The 24,806-nt window shown below is 44.4% G+C and overlaps 1 protein-coding gene across 20 annotated transcripts in view, besides 1 other annotated feature; it reads left to right on the top strand.

Moving 5' to 3' along the window:
• The window catches only part of WNT5A (Wnt family member 5A), a 39,549-nt gene extending 26,109 nt beyond the window's left edge, over nt 1-13,440 (top strand). For all 20 annotated transcript variants that reach the window (XM_047448855.1, XM_047448853.1, XM_047448857.1 and 17 more), the window contains 2 exons: nt 4,526-4,818; nt 8,605-13,440. In XM_047448855.1, the coding sequence (XP_047304811.1) occupies nt 4,526-4,818; nt 8,605-9,063 (752 nt within the window). In that variant the 3' untranslated portion in view covers nt 9,064-13,440. The remainder of the gene's footprint in view (nt 1-4,525; nt 4,819-8,604) is intronic.
• Nucleotides 4,825-5,059: a silencer, noted in NCBI's record as "fragment chr3:55508124-55508358 (GRCh37/hg19 assembly coordinates)". NCBI's record gives its function as "represses an EF-1alpha promoter that drives an FKBP-Casp9 reporter gene in an ReSE screen in K562 erythroleukemia cells {active_cell/tissue: K562}" and the evidence as "EXISTENCE:reporter gene assay evidence [ECO:0000049][PMID:32094911]".

Here is a 24,806-nt window from a genome sequence, read left to right as displayed (position 1 = left end):
TCCTGTCCCTACACCTGATGATAAGTTTTGGATTTTAATCAAATCAGGAGGCAAGTATCACAGACACCTTCATTTTTGCAAACACTTAATTTTTCTATAAAGCATTTTGTTTAAAATAGAAGCAGAACACTTATTTTGGTTTCTTAAGAGTAGGTGGGGGAAGCAAGTCATGTATATGCTTTTAAACGTCGAAACTCTCTTGCCTGTTAGTTTTTTAAGCCACAATTGAAACGGCCCGAGCATCGAACTAAAAGTTGCCGTCTTTTAGAATCCTGGATATATTGAAAGTGAACAAAGTTTTAATTTTCCTAATAGAACTATTTCCTGAGGCTATAAAGATATAGACGTTAAAAGCTTTATTTTTAGTCCCAGAAAGAATTTTAATTAAAAGTGATCCAATTTATGTTTGTGATGTCAGCAATTGATATAATAAAAGCACATGCTTGGGATGTCAACCTAGGAACTTGAAAAAAAAATTAAGAGTATTGCTCACAGTCCGATTCTTCATTTTAAATACGTTGTTGAATGTCTTACTTCCCCATTCAAAGAGATAGCATTTCAAATGGGCTAAAGGCAAAGATTTTAAAAAATCTGTTTGTTTGCCTCTGCTTTTGTTTAAATAGTATAGGATACTATTTGACAGATGTGGTCCAATGTATGTTTTCTAGTGTGAATATTTTAGGTTTCTCTACTTTTATGCAAAAAAGCCCTTATAATTAATATGACTGCAGTGACTCCCAAAGTAAGAAGCAATTTATCAAGGCAATTAACTGTCTATACTGACTGAAGAGAAAAGTTGGCTTAATGTCCATCACAGATGGATAAAATGCATTTTTTATTAAAAAAAAAACCCCGAAAATTACATTCATTGAGAACAAAAAAGAGTTGTCAGGGGATGTTTGAGCCAAGTGGTTTTATAAACTAAAATAATACAAGACTGGAAGCTGTTCCTCTGACTGAATGGGAGAATGGCCTGTAGCCTCAGCCTGCAAAGTTTCATGGGGCTTTGTCCTTTCTGTTAATGATTAAAATGTGCTAATGTATATACTGGGATCTGAATCTAAGAGTTAAGCTTCAGGAACACAGGAGTTTTCCCTGACTGTGGGCTGTCTTATGTAGTTAACTGGGAGTGTGGTAGATTTATTCTCCCGTGTGTTGATATTGTAAGGGAACTTAAATACTTTTGAAAAATTCTATGAGGATGGTAACTTTTCCCCCTTCTTCTATGTTCCTCCTAAACTGCCTTCCTCTCAACCTATGGGACTACTTTTTCACATGTATATGAGTTAGCAAAAATCATACACCTCTGATGGTAACCAGGAAGGAAAACAGCAATCGGAACTGTTTATCTGTGTAGTCACTTGAACACAGCTTTGATTTAAGATCCTCCTCTCGTTTTCATACGTAGCCTGTTTTGGGCCAAAATGTTCAGAATAAGCTATCATTTGCTAAGTGAATTTGAGTTCTGCTGGAGATTTATTTTAAATGCGGTCCAAGATTCAAAGAGCCTGCTTCCTCAGGGAACAAGCAGAACCCTTGGTACAAAAGCCTGTATTTAATTGTCCCTGGAAAGTATGCTCTCTGGTCTTCAGCTGCACGGCACTACTGTCTGGGTCGATGGGAAGTGGATGGGAGTGGTACCTCTCCACACCCTCTGAGACAGCCCTCCTAGATACTATCATCAAGTCAGCTGATGTCCTGGGAAGATGAGAGCACATATGGCATCCTCCCCTGCAAAAGGTCCCCCAAGTGCCTAGCGTCTCAGAGCTGAAAGCTGCTGCTGGGTGGCTTGTGGTGGGACACTGATGGGGCCTTCTGTTTTTTACTTAATTAAAAAAGAGACAGGAGAGAAGAGAAAACAATAGATTTTTATGAAAGAGGAACATGGATCCAATTCCAATAGTTGGAAAATTTCTTTGCTTTCACTTTTCCACTTAAGAGTGTATTTGAAGAGAATGAGCTAAGGGAAAATTTAAAATACCTTTGATGCCAAAAGGTGTGTGTGTGTGTGCCCACCCCAAAGCCCTCAGCACACCAAGGACATTGAGAATAATTCTTCTTTGTGAGAATTTGACCCTGTGATGGGGCCAGTGTCTGAGAAATTCAGGCCGCCACCTCTGACCCCCTCCTCAACTCATTTTTCTAAGATGCCAGTTGCCTTGGAGGCACCATGCACAATTACTTCATGAAGGGCCCACTCTTCATTTTGGAGAGTTTCTCATTTTTCATCATGCTACCCTTTCCTTCCAGCTTTTGTCCCCATCTGTCTCTTCTTTGTTTCCATGCTGTGAAAAGATATGTAAGGAAGGCACCATTTGTAAGGGGTGTGAGGATCGGAGTAGATGTGGGTTTCACAGGAAGGGAAACCTAACTGAATCAGCAGTATTCCAACCAGGATGACTGTATCCTCAGGCAATTAGCCAAAGAATACTTTTCAAACTGACGTTTACCCTGCAGTGACCAATTAGCTTAGAGGGATCTCCCAGGTTTGTATTCTGCGGCATAAAAGGAAATGCTCAAGATAGACTTATGAAAAAAGAAGCATTGTTTGTGTTTTGTATAAAGCCTTCTTATGCTCTGTATACTCAAAGGACAGTGTCTTATTTTCCTCTATCCCCAGAGGATCATTTCATCTCCTCTTCATCTCCTCTTCCTCTAGCTACTTTGTTCTACAAATCCCCCATCCAGGGCCACAGCATTTTCTGTACTATCAAATTACTCCCTAGAAGCTGTATATTGTCCTCATTCCTTTCCATTCCCCTGATGTGCTCTGCCTCTCTAATCCCGCTAGATAGGTGTAACGCATCACAGGAACTTTCTAGATCCTCCTGCCAACCACCAGCACACACCTTCAAGTCATTCATTTTGAAAATATGGGAGGGGGAGGATATATGGTAAATCAGAACCATCACCATTCACAAATGGCTGTGACTGGCATGGAGCAGAAGACCAAGAATGAGGTGGCCTGCTGGATGCTTAAACTGGCATCGCTGTCCTCCTGCAGAATGACCCTTCTCGTTCAGACTGAGTCCTGTTGTCAGCTTTTCTTGTGCTCCTCACTTCCCCCTCAGAAAAAAGATTGTTAGCAAGCTCTCAAAGTAAGTATAGGATAAACTGATTGCGGTACATGAATTTCAGCACCAGAAGAGGCCCCTTTCCTTGCATGTATTTCAGTACCCTTATTTTGCAATTGAGGAAAGTGAGCCTGCCCCCCAATCCCACCCCTACCCCACGCTTCAGCTGGCTGGATGATAACCCTTTCTCTCTCAGATTACAGTACTTTTATTAACTAGCTCTTGTTACATGCAGAAATGTCTCCATGTACAAGCGAAGTTTAGGGTACTCTATGATAGCCTCCAGTTTTCTCCTTACAAATAGGGTCCCTGTAACTATTATATGGGGAGATATTCTTTACTAGTTTTGGGAAGAAGAAAACTTCTCCCTCCCTCTTTTCCCCATAGGTTGTGCTTTTTTCCTTCTTGCTGTCATTCTAACACTTTGTGGCAAAGGCAGTGGGGGAGTGGGCAGGGGGTGTCTGCAGAAGTGGCATTGAAGAACAACAGGCTGTTTTAAAAGCAGACACTCATTCTTGAATGAGAAGTATCAGGCCAATGAGCCTGGGATTTAAGAATAGCAAGCTTCATTTATAACTCTCTATGAGCTGATTTAGAATTGTCCTCTGGGAAAGTAAAGAGACTTGTCCTGAGAAATACTTTCTGCTGCATGAAGGAAGAGGGAGGAGAGGTTACAACTGCCAGAGGAGGAGGGGACACAAGGCCAAAATGAGTGTGGCAGAAACTAGTGTGGCCGCTGGCAGTGTCTCCCTTAGATTCAAGGCCTAGCAAATTCTGTAATCCTGCCTTATATGTAACTCAAATGAAAATAATACTTAATATTAAAATAAGTGTAAGGAAGTCTACCCATATTCTGAGTGTTCCTTCAATGACTTCTTTCATGTGCATTTTTGCAAATAGCAAGTTTTGACTATTTTCAAAAGAGTTGCAGAGAAAATCAATCCAGCACTGCTTAGAATCTGGCCTGCAGCTCTGAAATGGCTGAGCAGAGATACTGGGGATCTGCTACTCCTTTGTTAATTGTTGCTTCTGTGTGTTTTGGGGGATCTTGCTTGGCTTCCCCTCAAGCTGGGCCCAGGGCCTGGTGCGTGTTAAGGATGGGGCAGCCCGAGCTTTTACCTTATTGATCCCCTACCCCCTACCCCCCCATCTCCTACTCCCTACCCTCTACCCCAACCTCCCCCCAGCCCTACCTGCCCCCCACCTTCTACCTCCCCACTATTCTTGCTTCCCCACCTCCTACTTCCCCCCAACCTCCAACCTCCCCCACCTCCTACCTCCCCCCTCCCTACCTCGCCCCAACCCCACCTCCTACCTCCCCTCCATCTCTACCTTGCCCCCCACCTCCTACCTCCCCACCATTCCCTACCTTGCCCCCACCCCCACCCCCGGCAGCATCCCGGCCCAGCGCGTGAGGCAGGCGGCCAGTGATCCCTTGTCCTCACCCACAGGCAGCCGCGAGACGGCCTTCACATACGCGGTGAGCGCAGCAGGGGTGGTGAACGCCATGAGCCGGGCGTGCCGCGAGGGCGAGCTGTCCACCTGCGGCTGCAGCCGCGCCGCGCGCCCCAAGGACCTGCCGCGGGACTGGCTCTGGGGCGGCTGCGGCGACAACATCGACTATGGCTACCGCTTTGCCAAGGAGTTCGTGGACGCCCGCGAGCGGGAGCGCATCCACGCCAAGGGCTCCTACGAGAGTGCTCGCATCCTCATGAACCTGCACAACAACGAGGCCGGCCGCAGGGTGAGTGCCGCGTCTCGCCCCCGCCCCGCATCTCTGTCTTCTCACCTTGCCCTCCAGCCTCCTCGGGTCTCTCCCTGTAGCTCCGTCCTCTCCTCTGCCACTCCTTTGCTATATGGTCCTGTCTCTATCTCTCTGCTTCTCTTTCTGTCTCTCCCTATCTTTCTCTGTCTTTCCTGTCTCTTTCCTCCTCATCCTGTTCCCGTCTCACTTTCTTTCTCCCTCTTCCCTTCCTTTCCTCCTTCCCGGTCTCTCTCTTCTCCCCCTTTGTCTACCTCTCTTTCCTCCATCTGTCTCCATAGTTGCCCCTGCACATCCCAGAAGGGCCTCCTGGGCGGATCATCCTCCCTTTCGCCCCCAGCCAAGGTGAACCAGCAGTTGCCTGAAAAAGACCTTTCCTTGCCTTCTTAGTTAGTCCCTGGTACCTTTGGCTACTGGAGCACAGAAATAAAAATGGGAATAACTTTCTCCCTCCTGCCTGGACGATGTCTGTGGTTGGCTTTCAGTTTGGGACAGGGATTTTTCTGTCTTCGTAGGTGCCCAGATGGGAAAGCCCTCACCCCAGCTTTGAGGCTCTTTCCCTCCTTTCTTTCTCCCTGCCTCTCTTTATGTCATTAGGTAGCAGGCCTGATGGATGGAGGGTTTTTTTAAAAAAGGGCTTTTCTAGGAAAAGGACAGCATTTTTAGCAGTGTGGGATTTTATAGGTCTGACCATCAGGCCAATCACAAAGTAGCTCTGGAGAGAAGAGAGCAGCAGAAGTACCCAGGGAGGACCATCTTTGCAGTCCTCACGAGTCTCCTGGTTCCCGCTCTTTCCTTCCCCTGGTGGGGATATGAAAAGCTACTTCTCAATAGTTAAAAAGACCCTTTTTTTCCTGCGGTTAAACACATGGCACTTTATGGCTGCTTTAAAATGAAGGGGTGAAAACTTTTCTTAACTTTGGCAGCATTGAAAACCAGGGCCATTATTTTTTCACAGAACCCAAGGTAGGTGCCAGGAACTTTCTGGTCAGAGATTTCACTCTTCTGTATTTTGGGGTGAGGGAGAAGGAAGTTAATCACAGAGTAAACTGTAGAGGACTGGACAGAGCCTTAGAAGACTCTGGCCCCACACTCATTTGAAAGACTAGGAAACTGAGGCCCAGAAAACCACTTCATGACCATGGAAGAAAATTAAAGAATGGAAATATAAGCCTAGGTACGTTTTTATTGAATTCATGCATCACAGCTAAGAGATGAAGAGCTAGCAGTTCGGGAATTAGAGAAATCTGGGTTAAAATGCAGTGTTGTCTGTTCTTTGCTTTTTCTGAGCCTCAGTTTTCCCATTTCCACATCTGTTAAATGGCCATGGCAATTACAATTACCTGAGGTTATTGTGAGGCCTCAGTGAGATCATCTAGTAGGTTGAACCATGTGAAATTGTGAACACTTGACTCTTTTTTATTACAAAATAACAATTTCATTTGGTTTAATTAAAGGTCTTAGTTTAGTGTCCGCCAGTAGTAAGTGCTTGATAGATGATAACTTCTAAAACATTATAGGCAAAGGACATAGAGAAGTCAAAGATCGTGTAGATAATTCCAGCTAGCTTATCTTCTCAAATTTGTTGTTAAACATTTGGGTGTTCCGGGGAAGGACTAAACTCTACAGAATTTTGCCTGTACTGCCATGAGGGGTCAAATAATTGCCACAGACAGAGTGTGGCCTCTCCTTTCTCAGGCCTCTCACTGCCATGGTGTCTGCAGTGTGGGATGCCTCTTCTGTGGTGGACCCAGAGCCACATGAAAATTTGGGGGGGGTGGGGTCAGCCCCATTCTCTCTGGAAGCCCATAAAACCTTGCTATCACCCTCTTCAGGGATGTATCGCTGGGATCTCTATATATGACATGCCCAGTGCCTCAGATCAGAAATGCCTCAAAAAGAGAGATGTGTCTGACTCTTAAAGGCCCCTATCCAGGGGTATGCCCATATTTGATATTCTCATCCATCTTTGGGACTTTCTTAGCCTTCTCTCATGTCCAGAAATCATCAGAGGCTTGGCAACCAAGAAGAGCGGGTCAAGGGATTTCCAAGTGGCAAGAGAGGATTGGGGAAGTTTGAAAAGCACCTATAATGTTACACTTCTGCATTTTTTTAGTAGCGAGTTTTTTTGGGGTAAATTTGATCATTGGAGTAGTGAGCTGAGTTTGGATTTTGGTGAGTGAGGTTACGAAGAAGACAGTTTTTTTTGCTCTGGGATGGTGGGGCTAGGGGATGGAAATTTGGGCACTGTGCCAGAAAATCATATTAGAATTTCCATGGGGTGTTAGCTTTTTAATTTTCCTCAGTGGGGAGCAAAGGTTAAATACATTTGCAAAACCCTTCCTCAGACTAGCTGAGTGCCTGAAACTCTTTATGCCAAGAGAGTACACTTTGGCCCCCTTTAAAAGAGCCCCTGTGAATCCCTGGAGGAAGAGGGTGGCTGTTCTCTGCGGAAGAGGCCTTCTGATGCACCCCCAGCTTCCAGGTTCCTGACAGGTCTTCTCCAGCACACTCACACCACGTGGACTCTGGAGGGTCACTGGCACAAGGAACTGTGGGCAGCAGAGTCTATAAATAGGCAACCACCACCTCCCAGACTGCTGGGCACAGTGTTATAGGGCCAGACCCGTGGGCACTGCTACTGGGAGGCCCAAGGTGACTGGGCAAGGGCCCAGATGCCGTGTCCTCGTCACTCTGGAGAAAGACCAGATTTCCTGAGTGTGTCCGTTGTTACCCTAAAGAAAGACCAGATTTACTGTGTCTTAAGTGCCAAGCACTTTCCACATCTCCCCTAATTTTATCCTTATAACAGCACTTGGAGGTTGGTGCCACCACTGCTGCCTTCGCAGATAGAAAACAGAGGCCCGGAAAGGTGCAGCCTGTTGTCTGAATTCAAGGGTAGAGTCAGGAACACAATCTATGTTGCTTGGCTCCAGGGTGGGTGCTCTTAGCCTAGCGGGGTAGTAGATGGGGTAGGGACTGTGTGGGAAACAGGAGTGAGGATACCTGAGTTCCAGGCGCAGTCCCCCCACACTTTAGCTGTGTGACCTGTGCAGGCCACTCAGCATCACTGTGCCATCATCCAATCCAGCCCATGTCATAATGTTGCTGGGATGGTTAAATGAGATCATGAGTGTAAGGACACTTATAGTGCCTGGTGCACAGCAATAATAGTAGTAATGGGTTAAGATTTGAACCCTGATCCCACTGGGGCTGGACTCTTCCCAATTCTGCACTTACCGGCTGGATATCCATGGGCAAGTCACTAAGCACGGGCTTGGAGTCCAGCTGCCTGGGTTCAAATCCTGGCACCTTTACTCCCCGGGAGTTGGGTGAGTGGCTCATCTCTCTGGGTCTCACTTTCCTTCTCTGTGAAATGGGATGATACTAGCACTTCTCACCTAGCTGGTACGGGGGATTAATTCAGGTAATGCATTGTGAACAACCTCTGGGATGAGTGTCCACATGTTGCTGCTGCTCTTTCTCTGAAAAAAATACAGCTGGAACAATTTTTTTTTCCTGTTCCTATTAAAAAACCACAGTTGTTGTTGATAATGATATAATAATGAGTGGTTAAGAACATATTTATTTGGAAGAATTTTTAAAGAAGGCAACATAAGACTTCTGGTAATGAAGGAAATATAATACAGTCCTTAATTCAGCTGGGGAACATAGCTCCATGGAGAAGGTCGAGGAGAACTTTGTTCCTATAGCCTGCATCTGGCTCCTCCATGAATGTGTGTATTGATTGCCCCCATTTCCCTGCAGACGGTGTACAACCTGGCTGATGTGGCCTGCAAGTGCCATGGGGTGTCCGGCTCATGTAGCCTGAAGACATGCTGGCTGCAGCTGGCAGACTTCCGCAAGGTGGGTGATGCCCTGAAGGAGAAGTACGACAGCGCGGCGGCCATGCGGCTCAACAGCCGGGGCAAGTTGGTACAGGTCAACAGCCGCTTCAACTCGCCCACCACACAAGACCTGGTCTACATCGACCCCAGCCCTGACTACTGCGTGCGCAATGAGAGCACCGGCTCGCTGGGCACGCAGGGCCGCCTGTGCAACAAGACGTCGGAGGGCATGGATGGCTGCGAGCTCATGTGCTGCGGCCGTGGCTACGACCAGTTCAAGACCGTGCAGACGGAGCGCTGCCACTGCAAGTTCCACTGGTGCTGCTACGTCAAGTGCAAGAAGTGCACGGAGATCGTGGACCAGTTTGTGTGCAAGTAGTGGGTGCCACCCAGCACTCAGCCCCGCTCCCAGGACCCGCTTATTTATAGAAAGTACAGTGATTCTGGTTTTTGGTTTTTAGAAATATTTTTTATTTTTCCCCAAGAATTGCAACCGGAACCATTTTTTTTCCTGTTACCATCTAAGAACTCTGTGGTTTATTATTAATATTATAATTATTATTTGGCAATAATGGGGGTGGGAACCAAGAAAAATATTTATTTTGTGGATCTTTGAAAAGGTAATACAAGACTTCTTTTGATAGTATAGAATGAAGGGGAAATAACACATACCCTAACTTAGCTGTGTGGACATGGTACACATCCAGAAGGTAAAGAAATACATTTTCTTTTTCTCAAATATGCCATCATATGGGATGGGTAGGTTCCAGTTGAAAGAGGGTGGTAGAAATCTATTCACAATTCAGCTTCTATGACCAAAATGAGTTGTAAATTCTCTGGTGCAAGATAAAAGGTCTTGGGAAAACAAAACAAAACAAAACAAACCTCCCTTCCCCAGCAGGGCTGCTAGCTTGCTTTCTGCATTTTCAAAATGATAATTTACAATGGAAGGACAAGAATGTCATATTCTCAAGGAAAAAAGGTATATCACATGTCTCATTCTCCTCAAATATTCCATTTGCAGACAGACCGTCATATTCTAATAGCTCATGAAATTTGGGCAGCAGGGAGGAAAGTCCCCAGAAATTAAAAAATTTAAAACTCTTATGTCAAGATGTTGATTTGAAGCTGTTATAAGAATTAGGATTCCAGATTGTAAAAAGATCCCCAAATGATTCTGGACACTAGATTTTTTTGTTTGGGGAGGTTGGCTTGAACATAAATGAAAATATCCTGTTATTTTCTTAGGGATACTTGGTTAGTAAATTATAATAGTAAAAATAATACATGAATCCCATTCACAGGTTCTCAGCCCAAGCAACAAGGTAATTGCGTGCCATTCAGCACTGCACCAGAGCAGACAACCTATTTGAGGAAAAACAGTGAAATCCACCTTCCTCTTCACACTGAGCCCTCTCTGATTCCTCCGTGTTGTGATGTGATGCTGGCCACGTTTCCAAACGGCAGCTCCACTGGGTCCCCTTTGGTTGTAGGACAGGAAATGAAACATTAGGAGCTCTGCTTGGAAAACAGTTCACTACTTAGGGATTTTTGTTTCCTAAAACTTTTATTTTGAGGAGCAGTAGTTTTCTATGTTTTAATGACAGAACTTGGCTAATGGAATTCACAGAGGTGTTGCAGCGTATCACTGTTATGATCCTGTGTTTAGATTATCCACTCATGCTTCTCCTATTGTACTGCAGGTGTACCTTAAAACTGTTCCCAGTGTACTTGAACAGTTGCATTTATAAGGGGGGAAATGTGGTTTAATGGTGCCTGATATCTCAAAGTCTTTTGTACATAACATATATATATATATACATATATATAAATATAAATATAAATATATCTCATTGCAGCCAGTGATTTAGATTTACAGTTTACTCTGGGGTTATTTCTCTGTCTAGAGCATTGTTGTCCTTCACTGCAGTCCAGTTGGGATTATTCCAAAAGTTTTTTGAGTCTTGAGCTTGGGCTGTGGCCCTGCTGTGATCATACCTTGAGCACGACGAAGCAACCTTGTTTCTGAGGAAGCTTGAGTTCTGACTCACTGAAATGCGTGTTGGGTTGAAGATATCTTTTTTCTTTTCTGCCTCACCCCTTTGTCTCCAACCTCCATTTCTGTTCACTTTGTGGAGAGGGCATTACTTGTTCGTTATAGACATGGACGTTAAGAGATATTCAAAACTCAGAAGCATCAGCAATGTTTCTCTTTTCTTAGTTCATTCTGCAGAATGGAAACCCATGCCTATTAGAAATGACAGTACTTATTAATTGAGTCCCTAAGGAATATTCAGCCCACTACATAGATAGCTTTTTTTTTTTTTTTTTTAATAAGGACACCTCTTTCCAAACAGTGCCATCAAATATGTTCTTATCTCAGACTTACGTTGTTTTAAAAGTTTGGAAAGATACACATCTTTCATACCCCCCTTAGGCAGGTTGGCTTTCATATCACCTCAGCCAACTGTGGCTCTTAATTTATTGCATAATGATATTCACATCCCCTCAGTTGCAGTGAATTGTGAGCAAAAGATCTTGAAAGCAAAAAGCACTAATTAGTTTAAAATGTCACTTTTTTGGTTTTTATTATACAAAAACCATGAAGTACTTTTTTTATTTGCTAAATCAGATTGTTCCTTTTTAGTGACTCATGTTTATGAAGAGAGTTGAGTTTAACAATCCTAGCTTTTAAAAGAAACTATTTAATGTAAAATATTCTACATGTCATTCAGATATTATGTATATCTTCTAGCCTTTATTCTGTACTTTTAATGTACATATTTCTGTCTTGCGTGATTTGTATATTTCACTGGTTTAAAAAACAAACATCGAAAGGCTTATGCCAAATGGAAGATAGAATATAAAATAAAACGTTACTTGTATATTGGTAAGTGGTTTCAATTGTCCTTCAGATAATTCATGTGGAGATTTTTGGAGAAACCATGACGGATAGTTTAGGATGACTACATGTCAAAGTAATAAAAGAGTGGTGAATTTTACCAAAACCAAGCTATTTGGAAGCTTCAAAAGGTTTCTATATGTAATGGAACAAAAGGGGAATTCTCTTTTCCTATATATGTTCCTTACAAAAAAAAAAAAAAAAGAAATCAAGCAGATGGCTTAAAGCTGGTTATAGGATTGCTCACATTCTTTTAGCATTATGCATGTAACTTAATTGTTTTAGAGCGTGTTGCTGTTGTAACATCCCAGAGAAGAATGAAAAGGCACATGCTTTTATCCGTGACCAGATTTTTAGTCCAAAAAAATGTATTTTTTTGTGTGTTTACCACTGCAACTATTGCACCTCTCTATTTGAATTTACTGTGGACCATGTGTGGTGTCTCTATGCCCTTTGAAAGCAGTTTTTATAAAAAGAAAGCCCGGGTCTGCAGAGAATGAAAACTGGTTGGAAACTAAAGGTTCATTGTGTTAAGTGCAATTAATACAAGTTATTGTGCTTTTCAAAAATGTACACGGAAATCTGGACAGTGCTCCACAGATTGATACATTAGCCTTTGCTTTTTCTCTTTCCGGATAACCTTGTAACATATTGAAACCTTTTAAGGATGCCAAGAATGCATTATTCCACAAAAAAACAGCAGACCAACATATAGAGTGTTTAAAATAGCATTTCTGGGCAAATTCAAACTCTTGTGGTTCTAGGACTCACATCTGTTTCAGTTTTTCCTCAGTTGTATATTGACCAGTGTTCTTTATTGCAAAAACATATACCCGATTTAGCAGTGTCAGCGTATTTTTTCTTCTCATCCTGGAGCGTATTCAAGATCTTCCCAATACAAGAAAATTAATAAAAAATTTATATATAGGCAGCAGCAAAAGAGCCATGTTCAAAATAGTCATTATGGGCTCAAATAGAAAGAAGACTTTTAAGTTTTAATCCAGTTTATCTGTTGAGTTCTGTGAGCTACTGACCTCCTGAGACTGGCACTGTGTAAGTTTTAGTTGCCTACCCTAGCTCTTTTCTCGTACAATTTTGCCAATACCAAGTTTCAATTTGTTTTTACAAAACATTATTCAAGCCACTAGAATTATCAAATATGACGCTATAGCAGAGTAAATACTCTGAATAAGAGACCGGTACTAGCTAACTCCAAGAGATCGTTAGCAGCATCAGTCCACAAACACTTAGTGGCCCACAATATATAGAGAGATAGAAAAGGTAGTTATAACTTGAAGCATGTATTTAATGCAAATAGGCACGAAGGCACAGGTCTAAAATACTACATTGTCACTGTAAGCTATACTTTTAAAATATTTATTTTTTTTAAAGTATTTTCTAGTCTTTTCTCTCTCTGTGGAATGGTGAAAGAGAGATGCCGTGTTTTGAAAGTAAGATGATGAAATGAATTTTTAATTCAAGAAACATTCAGAAACATAGGAATTAAAACTTAGAGAAATGATCTAATTTCCCTGTTCACACAAACTTTACACTTTAATCTGATGATTGGATATTTTATTTTAGTGAAACATCATCTTGTTAGCTAACTTTAAAAAATGGATGTAGAATGATTAAAGGTTGGTATGATTTTTTTTTAATGTATCAGTTTGAACCTAGAATATTGAATTAAAATGCTGTCTCAGTATTTTAAAAGCAAAAAAGGAATGGAGGAAAATTGCATCTTAGACCATTTTTATATGCAGTGTACAATTTGCTGGGCTAGAAATGAGATAAAGATTATTTATTTTTGTTCATATCTTGTACTTTTCTATTAAAATCATTTTATGAAATCCAGTGCAGTCGTGCGTGTGTGTTTAGCAGAGAGAGTGTTCATTGAAGTTTGATGTGGGCACGGATTACGGCTTAGGGTATCCAGAAAAACACACGTACATTTCAGGTATGTAGATGATATGGTGGTTGAAGCTCAAGCATGTATTTTGTACTTTAGTGCTCATTTTTCTTTTGCCTGTTGCTGATTTTTTTCATTTCTTATCTGCTCTGCTGCTGTTAATCCCTAAGAGTTGTAGTAAGATTTTTTTTTTAGTGTAGGCATTTAGCACAGTGAGATGGGACTACCGTGAAATTCTAGGGCAAGGGAAGAAAGAGTGACTTCAGGAGAGAACTAAAACGATGTTCAAGATGAAGAACAGACTGAACCACCTGGAATATTCTGCAGGTGGCTTTTTTCATCTTAGAACAGTTGCCAGTAAGCTCTTTAGATTTTGTGCCGGTTGCTCGATCTTGGCACTGTTGACATTTTGAGCTGGATAATTCTTTGTTGTAGGGATTTATTTTATGTGGTATTCAGCAGCATCCCTGGCCTCTACCCACTAGATGCCAATAACATCCTTCCATTTGTGACAATCAAAAACATCTACAAACATGCCAAATGTGCCCTGGGGAGCAAAATCACCCCCAGTTTAAAACCATGACTTTAGTTGGAGGGACTGAGGTTTGAACACTTGGGGAATACTGGCTGACCACCTTGGTGAACTATTGAGCTTGCCTAGGTTGACTCATGAGTGAGACAAGACCCTTGGGAGTTTTACTCCCAAGATGGAGAGGTGGCATCTATTCCAGGGAAGCCTGGCTTAGCAGTTAAGAACATAGGCTCCGGAGCCAGATTGCCCGGGTTCAAATCCCAGTACCCCTTTCACCTTGGGGAAGATGCACAACCTCACAGTGCTTCTGAGGCCTTTGTCTTTAAAATGAGAGAGAGCATTGCAATCTACCTCTTCAGGCTCTTGTGAAGATAAAAATGAGTTAACACTTAGGGAGTGCTTAGAGCATGTTCTACTACATAGTAACAGCTCAATAAATGTTAGCTGAGAGAGAAAGGTGTTGAGGAAAAGAACACTGGAATAAGTGTGAAGGCTAAATCAAGGCAACGTGGGATCAGTGCTGTTTAACACACCTAACACTATTGGCTCAATGCTGGGAAGGCACACTTAGTATTTTAGAGAGGTTGCAAACTTATGGCTTGCTGTCTACATCACACCTCCAGATGTGTTTTGTTTGACTGGCACAGCATTTAAAAAATTAGTTGCCAACATTTAAAATATGAGTACTTTCACATTAAAATTTGGATTTCTGGCTTGAAAAATGGGGAGAGCTGGTCACCTAGGAGCATGTCACAGGTCCCACGTAGCAACAATCAGCTGGACCCAAGCAGCTGCTACTCCCTTTTAGACAGGGCTAGGCATGTCTAATTGGCCAGTCATTTATGGCACCTAACTGGCCCCTGCAGGCCTTTACATTTGTAATTGTTTTTAAAGGTGTTTTCCCTCTAAGAGTTTCTTAGCTTCATCGCTATTGACATTTTGAGCAGGATAATTATTTGTCGTGAGGGCTGTCTTTGTGCATTATAGTATGTTTAACAGCATCCCTGGCATCTACCCACTAGATGCTGATAGCAGCCTCCCATTTGTGACAACCAAAAATGTCTCCAGACATTGATGAGTGTCCTCTGGGGGGCAAAATTATCCCAGGTGAAAACGACTGGTTTAAACCAAAAACGTCTGTACATATTTATAAGCTAGCCAATGAGTCTAAAACAAAGAAATAAACAAAATGGATTAGTTTCTTGGTGTACAGAATGCCTGGCCTATCACAGGAACTCAATAAATATTTAATGAATGGATGAAAAACACAACCATTCCCAGGTTTCAGCCTAACTACTTACTTGCAGTGTGGCCTTGAAGAGATGCTTGAATCTCTCTGAACTTAACGTCCGCAGCAAGAACATGGGAACAAAAGCCACCACCCAATTAGGCTTGATATTTAAATTACATGATAGAATCTGCAAAAGGCCACCTTCAAAGCCTAATGATAGTAGCAGTATAATAAGAGGTGGAATTCGTTTTAAAAACAAAGATAATGAGTTAACAGTTAAATGTTTCTAGCCAGCCTGCCCTGCATAGCTAAATAAACACGAGCTCCAGGCTGGGTGCAGTGGCTCACGTCTGTAATCCCAGCAGTTTGGGAGGCCGAGGCAGGCAGATCCCCTGAGGTCGGGAGTTTGAGATCAGCCTGACCAACATGGAGAAACCCCTCTCTACCAAATACAAAATTAGCCGGGTATGGTGGCGCATGCCTGCAATCCCAGGTACTACAGAGGCTGAGGCAGGAGAATTACTTGAACCCGGGAGGCAGAAGTTGTGGTGAGCCAAGATGGCGCCATTGCACTCCAGCCTGGGCAACAAGAGCGAAACTCCATCTCAGAAAATAAAAAGAAAAAATTAAACACGAGCTCCAGTTTTTGATGCTTGTTTTTGAGTTGCAGTTTCCAAAGAGCATTCCATCACTCACAGACCCAAAGGATGATCAACAGGAAGTGTTTCATGGCCAAACAAGTTTGGGAAGTGAGGACTGATGGATCCTTGCCCCGCTGAGAGATGTATGATGGTCCTTAGCATATTGGCAATGCTAAAATCAAAGAACTGCAAGAAAGAGATCTGTTAACTCGGAGTTTCGTTGACTTGAGTTTTTGACTTCCTTTCATGGGAGACCTGTTAATGTTCCCATTCTCTGGGCAAGTTGGGAAGTCCTGGGGTGGAGCAACCCCTCTCTGGCAGGTTTTGTGGGCATATGTTCTCTTGAGGTCAAGAGCTGCCTGGCTTGAAATTTATGGCTGCAAAGGTAGGGAGTGCTACCTGGTGACATTTCTGTTCCTCTTCCTAATGGAGGGCTAGTCCCAACCGGTGGCTAATCTACGTATTTATAGCCTGGGTGGTGGGATGGGGAAGAATGTGCTCTGGGAGGCAACAAGGAGACTCCTAAGACATAACTAGACCTAAAGGTGGGAGAGAGGAAGAAAGAAAAAGCAGAAAGGGGATAGGAAAGGGGGGAAAAGGCATAAAATGCAAAGGAGGCAAATGAGGACTGAGAAGATCCAGCTGTCCTCTGACCATGACCTTCAGAAAAATCTCATTTCTACTAGAAAAAAAAATTACAGCGGTTTAGGAAGGTAATTTATGACAAGCATTTCTTCTGTGCCTGGCACTTGGTAAGGATTTTATCTTTCATCCCATTTCAGTAAGAGTACCAAGAAACTTTTGAGATAATATTGTTATCCTCATTTTACAGATGAAGCAAAGGAAGATTGGAGAGCTTAAGTCTGACCCAAGACTCCATTTGCCCAACAAAAATGCATGCTCTCCCTTTATCAATGTGGCCTTGATCCTGCCTAAACAAAGACTACATTTCCCAGGCTCCCTTGCATCCAGGTATGGCTAGAGGACTAGTTCCCACAAATGGAAGGGGAACAGAAGTGAAGTGTGTCAGTTTTGAAGTCCAGATTTTTGAAAAGCCAGTGTGAGTTTTTCACTGCATCGTTCCCTCCACCAGCTTGGAGCAGAGGACTCTGAAGTCCTAGGAGTTGATTGGGCCACACATGGGAGAAACCTGGATGCTTGACTCACCACATGGAAGAAAGCCAGCAGCTGACCAGAAACTCCTTCCTTAGACAGTTGAGTGACTAAATTATAAACTTCTATTTTATGTTAAGTCAGTACCATATTGGAGTTTGATACAGCAATTAGTAATTCTACCCAACACATTGCTTCTCCTGGTACTTCCCAAGGTTGTCACTGAGTCCCCAGACTCAATGGGGATCCCCTAGCCAGGAGAGTCACAGATTGGGAAGGTCCCTTGCAGGCCATCCCACCCCACCCCAGGGTTCACAGCCTCCTGAGAGGCATGCCATTTCACCTGGAGAACTCCATCCCCTAGGAAACTCAGACATGTCCTGATTGGCCACACTCAGTATCAAAAGGGCTCCTCCCTCCATCAGCTGGGGTGCCTCCCTGCCATCTGGGAAAGTGGGCCTCATTCCATCAAGGCAAGCCCTTTTCCTGATTCTGACATAACTTCTGTGTGATATGGGGTAAGTCTCTTACCCTCTTTGAGCCTCTGATTTTTTGTTGTTGTTGTCATTTTTTTTCTCTAAAGACCCAGTCAATTCATTTATCAATTCATCATTTACACACTAGGAAGGTGATATAGTTTTGCTGTGTCCCACCCAAAATCTCATCTTGAGTTATAATCCCCATAATCCCTAAGTGTCAAGGGTGGGACCAGGTGTAGGTAATTGGATCATGGGGCAGTTTCCCCCATGCTGTTCTTCTGATAGTGACTCTCATGAGATCTTATGGTTTTATAAGCATTTGGCATTTCCCCTGCTTGCACTCACTCCATCCTGCTGCCCTGTGAAGAAGGTGCCTGCTTCTCCTTTGCCTTCTGCCATGATTGTAAGTTTCCTGAGGTCTCCCCAGCCCTGCGGAACCATGAGTCAATTAAACCTCTTTCCTTTATAAATTACCCTGTCTCAGGTATGTCTTCATAGCAGCATGAGAACGGACTAACACAGGAGAATTTAATGAACACCCACTGTGTGCTGGGCACTCATTTAGGTGATGAGGTTACAGAGGTGAGCAAAGCAAACTCTGCTCCTGTCCTTCCAGAGCACACATTTCCCATAGTGAGCAGTTGTGGTGACGGGGATCATGGAAGAATAGGGTTCCATGGGGGCTCAAGGAGGAGAGACACATCCAGACTTGGAGAACCAAGGATGCTCTCTGGAGAAAGGGATATTTTAGCTGAGGTTTTAAAGACAAGCAAAGGTTATCCAGGTTAAGTAGGGGAAGGGTAGGTAAGAGTATTCAAGAAAGAAGGCACAGCTTGAGCAAAGGCCAAGAGGTGGGAGGGAATGCAGTTCCCCCAGGAGCTGTGAGTCTGGAGGTTCATGGGAACAAGAGGGTGAAGAGGGAGTGGTGGAAGATGAGGCTGGGCACACGGAGACTCAGACTGCAGTCAGTAGGGCCTCTGATAAGGCATCTAGACTTCCTCCTGTGGGTGAAAGGTATTCAGCAGGCATGAGGCAGGTTCAGGACTAACCTTTAAAGCAGACAGTGGAGGCCAGGTGCAGTGGCTCACACCTGTAATCCTAGCACTTTGGGAGGCTGAGGTAGGAGGATTGCATGAAGACAGGAGTTCGAGACCAGCCTGGGCTACAAAGTGAGACACCGTCTCTACAAAAGAAAAAAAAAATAGCTGGGTGCAGTGGTATGTGACTGTAGCCCCAGCTACTCAGGAGGCTGAGGTGGGAGGATTGCTTGAGCTTGGGAGGTCAAGGCTGCAGTGAGCCATGACTATGACATTGCACTCCAGCCTGGGAGACAGAGTGAGACTACCTCAAAAAACAAACACATGAGCAAACAAAAGACCCTGGGGAGAAAATGCTGCCTCCACAATTCCTTAGTTCCTGGACCCTCATCTTGTCCATGGAAACTCAAGGTCTCCATGATCTTGGAGATATTTTGGTGTTGCACTGGCATGGCTCAGCCACCACTCCCTAACCTATCCAGAGTTTCCTGCCACACTTGGGGCAGCCTAATGTCCCTGTAACTGAGACAACTCTAGCCAGATGCTTGCCCACCCCTGCACCACCAGGATGACTGGCTAGAAGTTCTACCTCAGTCTTGTCCCAGGGCTGCCCTCCACAAACATGCCCCCAGCACCCACCCAACAAAGGGCTCACCTCCTGACCTTTGTCTCAGTGTCCCTAACCAGAGCTGCCTGCACCAGCACTGACTTCCTCAACACTGATGATGCTCATGCTGTACCAGGCTCAGTGCTCCATGATTTGCAGGCTTCATCTCATTTATTCTTGATACATGATTCCCAGATTACAGATGAGGAAACCAAGGCTGGGAGAAATTGAGTCACTCGCTTTATTTGTTATCTATCACCTAATCACACACCATACCCATACCAAAACTTAACGGCTTAAAACCATGGCCACTGTATTTGCTTATGATTCTGTGGGTCAGCAGTCTGGGCAGGGGTAGCAGGGAGGGGGTTTCTTCTGCTGCCCTCACTCGGGGCCTGGCAGATAGGCTAGGGGCTGGATGATCCTAGATGGCTTCACCCACAAGCCAAGAGTTGATTCTGGCTGTTGGCTGGGCCTTTCCGTTGATGTGAATATTCATCTCTTGAGTGGCCAGCCTGGGCTCTTTTACACTTGGATGCCACATTTCACGAAGGTGAGGCCTGGACTTGGAAGTTACACTATATCACTTCCACCTCATTCTATTGGTCAAGGCAAGCCCAAGGATAGCCCACATTCACAGAGGTGGAGAAGTAGACTCCATCTCTCAGTGAGAGGACTGGTAGAGTCATGTTGCAGAGGGGCATCTATATAGGATGGGAGACCTTGCTGCAGCCATTTTTGCAGTCTCCCCCACCGGGCTGAGATTCCACAGTGTATACAGAGTGTTCTACCTATTCTCTCCTATATAATAGCACCTTCAGTCCAGGTGCGGTGGCTCACACCTGCAATCCGAGCACTTTGGGAGGCTAAGACGGAAGGGTTGCTTGAGCTCAGGAGTTTAGGACCAACTTGGGCAACACAGTGAGACCCTGTCTCTCCAAAAACATTCTTAAAAAAAATAGCTGGGTGTTGTGGCATGTGCCTGTAGTCCCAGCTACTTGGGTGGCTGAGGTAGGAGAAGTGCTTATGCCCAGGAGGTCAAGGCTGCAGTGAGCCATGACTGTGACACTGCACTCCAACCTGGGTGACAGTGAGATTCTATGTCAAAAAACAAAAAAACAAAAAAAACACTTTCAGTAGAATATCTGTTTCTCGCTACAAACCCACATAAGCATGGTGCACAGGGAAGAACAAAGAATTTACAGTCAAGAAAACCTGGCTCCAAGCTTTGCTTGTATTAGCTGCACATCCTTTGGCCAGTTATTGGGCCTCTCTTCAGTATTCTCATGCATAACACAAGGCTGTGAGAATGCTACCAGCTGATTGTGAGGATTGCTCATCATGTAAGTCAAGGGCCCTGACACAGAGTAGGCACTCCAGCAGTAGTAGGGATGAGGATGGTGACCATTACTGGCATCGGGGAAGAGCCAGCCACATTTCCATCACCAAATTCAATGACTCATGAGCCTCCCTGACTCAGCAAATTGCAGGGCGCTCCCTTCAAGGCACTGGGAGGGGGCTCCTGAAGGTTCTTGAGGAGGTTCAGGCTGGAGAAGCAGAGGGTGGGGAGGCAGAGGATGGGCTTAGCCTCAGCTCAGACATGCCAATCCCTCCCCCACCCATGGGAAACGCTGCAGCATGTTTTCCCATGTCTCAGGAGAGACCCATGACATGAGCAGGGTGGGGACTCACATTCTCTTTACAGAGTGAGATTTTGAGGCGGAGAATAGGGAAATGATGTTTTCAATGAGAAGGCGAAAGCCAGTACTGCAGCCTGGGCTCCTGAATTTTAGGTGTACCCACCTTTGCACCCCACATCACTCCTGTGGGCAGCAAGCTGTGCTCCCTTGGGCAAGCCACTGAGCTTCCTCTGGGCCTCACTTTCACCATCTATAAAATGGAAAAATAAGACCCATGTAACTGCAACACAGGTTTACTAGCAACTGCTCTCATTTACTAAGCACACTGACTGGGCTTGTTGTTAAGTTTTTTCATTCGCATTATTTTGTTTGATCTCGTGGCATCTCAAAAGGAAGTGTTAGTCTCCTTATTCTACAGATGCGGAAATAGAAGCCCTGGAAGACTAAGTATCTTTCCCCAAACTACATAGCCAGTAAGAAGCAAAGTCAAGTCTCTCTGATTTTATAGCTCTTGGTTTCATCCACGAGGTGATGTTGCCTCAGGAGTAATGGGAAGAGGAAAATGGAAGGTTAGAAATGCTAGAAACCTAACATTGAATTCCTGACCCCGAGTCAGTTGGCCTATTTTTCCAGTTGAGGCCACCTCAGAGTTCCTCCTCTAAGTCCTCACTCTTGTGTCATTGGAGGGCCCTGGTGGGTGTCAGGCAAGGATATTTCCTCCTGTACATGACCACACCTGGGAGAATCCTGGACCCAGACTCCATGACTGGCCCAAAGGGACTTCCACTGTTGGGATTCTGGTTCCACTCTGGTCACCAGTTTGCTGTGTAGCTTTGGGCAAATCCTTTCTCCTCCCTGGGCCTCATTCCTTGACATGTGCATGATGGTTTAGATGGGGTTACCTGAGTGAGTCTGGCTAAACAACATCATGCCTCAAGAAGTTGATGCTCTATCGAGGTGGAGAATAGGACGTCAAATCCTGCCATATGGGAATAAAATGAATGCAAATGGAATCTGGCCTACACTGCTTTGACCCAGCAATACCAAATGATGTAGGGACAGCTTCTCTCTGGCATGTCCTTCTATACACACTCACATACTCACCGCTTCCCTACCAGGTGCTCTATCTGGCACGGGGTCGGGGAGCAGGAAAACTATGAGCTTTGGAATGAGAAACACCTGCACAATCCTGGGCAAGTTTCTTGACCTTTCTGAGCTCTCATTTCCTCGTCTGGAAAAGGGGCAAACCCTCTCCACTGTGCGAGGGTTTTGTGAGGATTACAGAGGAAGGGGTTTGTACAGTGACAGGCACATGTAACCACTCAATAAATGGTAGCTATTGTATTATTATCATCTTAATCCATAATCCCTCACTTCTGCTGGAACCCCTTCTGCCCTGGAGAGAGAAACCTGATAAACTATCTAGTGGAAGGCAATTCATTAGTACAATATGCTGTTCAGCTCATTGGCTCGTGAGCCTGTGTTTGCTAAGACAATAGACGGAAAGGGGGCAGTTCTCACCCCCATCTTCCCATTCACCCTAGCAGTCTTTAATGGAGGGATTCTGGCATGAAGGTGGATTTTCCTTCCCAGCGCCTCTTCTGACTTTCACGATTCAGGCTGTGCACAAGGGCTGTCTGGGTTTATTCTTTCATTCCACATTTCCCGAGGGCCTCTGTGTGCCAGGTCTCTTGCTGGGTGCAGAAACAAGTAAGACCCTTTCCCTCCTTGAGGAGCTCAATGTCTAGATCAAGGTCTATATATGCTGCAATTCTAGGGGGAACCAGGAATGAAGACTTGACTGTGAATTCCCAGGGCGGCCTCCATGTGCTGGCAGAAAAACCACACTCCAAGCACGTTTTCAACGAGCAGTTTAAACCACTTGAATTCGAGTCTCGAAAACCAAAAAACCAGTTCTAAGTGTTTTCACCTCTCCCACTGTTTCCTCCTAAATTTCATTAGGGCTGACAATTTGTATATCCACTTACAGTGTAATATGATTTAAATGGCTGACCGTAACTGTTAGAAACGGAGTTTTCCCCGGGCGCAGTGAGCAGAGAAGGCAGCTGGGGACGCTTCCCAGGGGCAGTGGGGCCCTCTCCACAATGGTGCGGTATTTTAAAGGCCTGAATGCGGCTTGTCAGACGTGGTGTCCACCCGAGGAGATGGGAGGGACAGCTTCCTGGCCCCCTTCCCTCTTCACCCTGAAATCACTTTTGTTCTTGGAGGCTGAGCTATCTTGGAGTTTTCGGCATGCAATAAAATATGCTCAACCACAAGGCCTGTGTCGAGCCAGGACGGCTGGAGGAGAAAGCCAAGCCCGCTGGCCGGACCGTCTTCATGGTTAGGCAGAATTGATAGTGTGTGTCCCGCTCCATGGCTTTCCTTTTTGTTTTGGCTTTGTAACTAAAACAGAGTTGATGCCTGAGAGCTGATGGGATGTTCAGTTTTATTTTGTCCCCTATCAAAGTGTTACACACATTGTGTGTAGCAGTTATTGTATCATAGATTGGATTTGGGTTTGAATCCTCACCCTCTCACTTGATGACCTTAGGTACGTCATTCTCCCTCTCTGGGTATCCATTTCCTCATCTGTAAAATGGCTGGTGCGTCATGCCTTGCTGAATTAATTACAGTATCTAGAACTGCACTGTCCAATACAGAAGCCATTAGCTGTGTGTGGCTATTTAAATTTAAATTAATTAAAATAAAACATTCAGTTCCTCAGTCGAACTAGCCAGATTTCAAGGGCTCAATAGCCACAAACCCAAAACGATAGTATGGCTATAGGATTTTTCATCACTGTGGAAATTTCTACTGGACAGCACTGGCCTAGAACTACGCCTGCACCCACTAGATGCTCATTAGGAACCTAAAAGAGAAACTATGATTTTCACTGTCTGTCACTAGTACAAGCACCTGCAGTCAACAGTGGATGGAATTGTCAGAAATACATTTTACAGAGAGCAGTGTCCCCCAGTATTTAGAATTTGAAACTCTCACACCAGTTGTCTTGTTCTTGTGGACCCCTCTTCTTGCATATATAACGTCCAAACATGGGAAAATGCTCCCCAGCGTGGCAAATGAGCCATGAGAACAGCTCAGATTACAAAGAGAGGGCTGTGACACTGCGGGTGTTCGGGGTGCTAACGTTCTGGACCATATTAGCTAAGGTTCTTTCAACTGCAATTATAGAATCCAATTCCAGCTCGAGTAAACAAGACACAAAGTCACTGGAAGAATGTTGAGATGTCTCCTGGAATCCAAGGAGAATCAGGGCAGCTCTGAGGGTGCCGCTGGTCAGGAACTCAGAAATCCGCCTTTGCTGAAGTTTCCAAATTTGACAGAACTTCAGAATTGACGAGGATGTTGGTAAAGTACAGATTCTAGTGCTGTCCCTTGGATATTCAGATTCATTTATGCTTGGAGTGGGTCCTGGGTATCTGTATTTTTCTAGGCTCCTCAGGTAGACCCAAGCAGCCATTCAAAATGCTGTGCTGTGGTCTGCGCTCCGCGTGGTGGCTCCTTAGCTCTCAGATTGAGCACTGTGCTCCCAAGCCAGATGATCTCATTGGCCCAGCTGTCTGCCCATTGTCCAGCACAGTTCAGAGGTAGAGAAGGGAGGGGAGTCTAGTGACTCAGTCTTGACTCTTGTGGGCTAGCTTCCTAAAATTACTGTATGATCCAGCAACCCCACTACTGGATCTATATCCACAAGAACTGAAATCAGGACTCCTAAGAGATACATGAACTCTCAGTATTATTCACAATAGCCAGGCGTAGAGGCAAACTAAATGTCCATCCATGGATGCGTGGTTAAAGAAGTGGTATCTACATACAATGGCATATTATTCAGCTTTAAAAAAAAGAAGGAAATCCTGCCATATGGGACAACAGGGAGGAACCTACAAGACATTATGCTAAGTGAAGTAAAACAGTCACAAAAGGACAAAATACATGTGATATGGCATTCCATTTATATAAGGTATCTAAAATAGTCAAACTCATAGAAACAGTAGAATGGTGGTTAC

This window comes from Homo sapiens, chromosome 3 (assembly GCF_000001405.40).
Source record: "Homo sapiens chromosome 3, GRCh38.p14 Primary Assembly".
NCBI lineage: Eukaryota > Metazoa > Chordata > Mammalia > Primates > Hominidae > Homo > Homo sapiens.
Note: the sequence above shows the minus strand (reverse complement) of the source record. Positions and strands in the feature narration are given on the sequence as shown.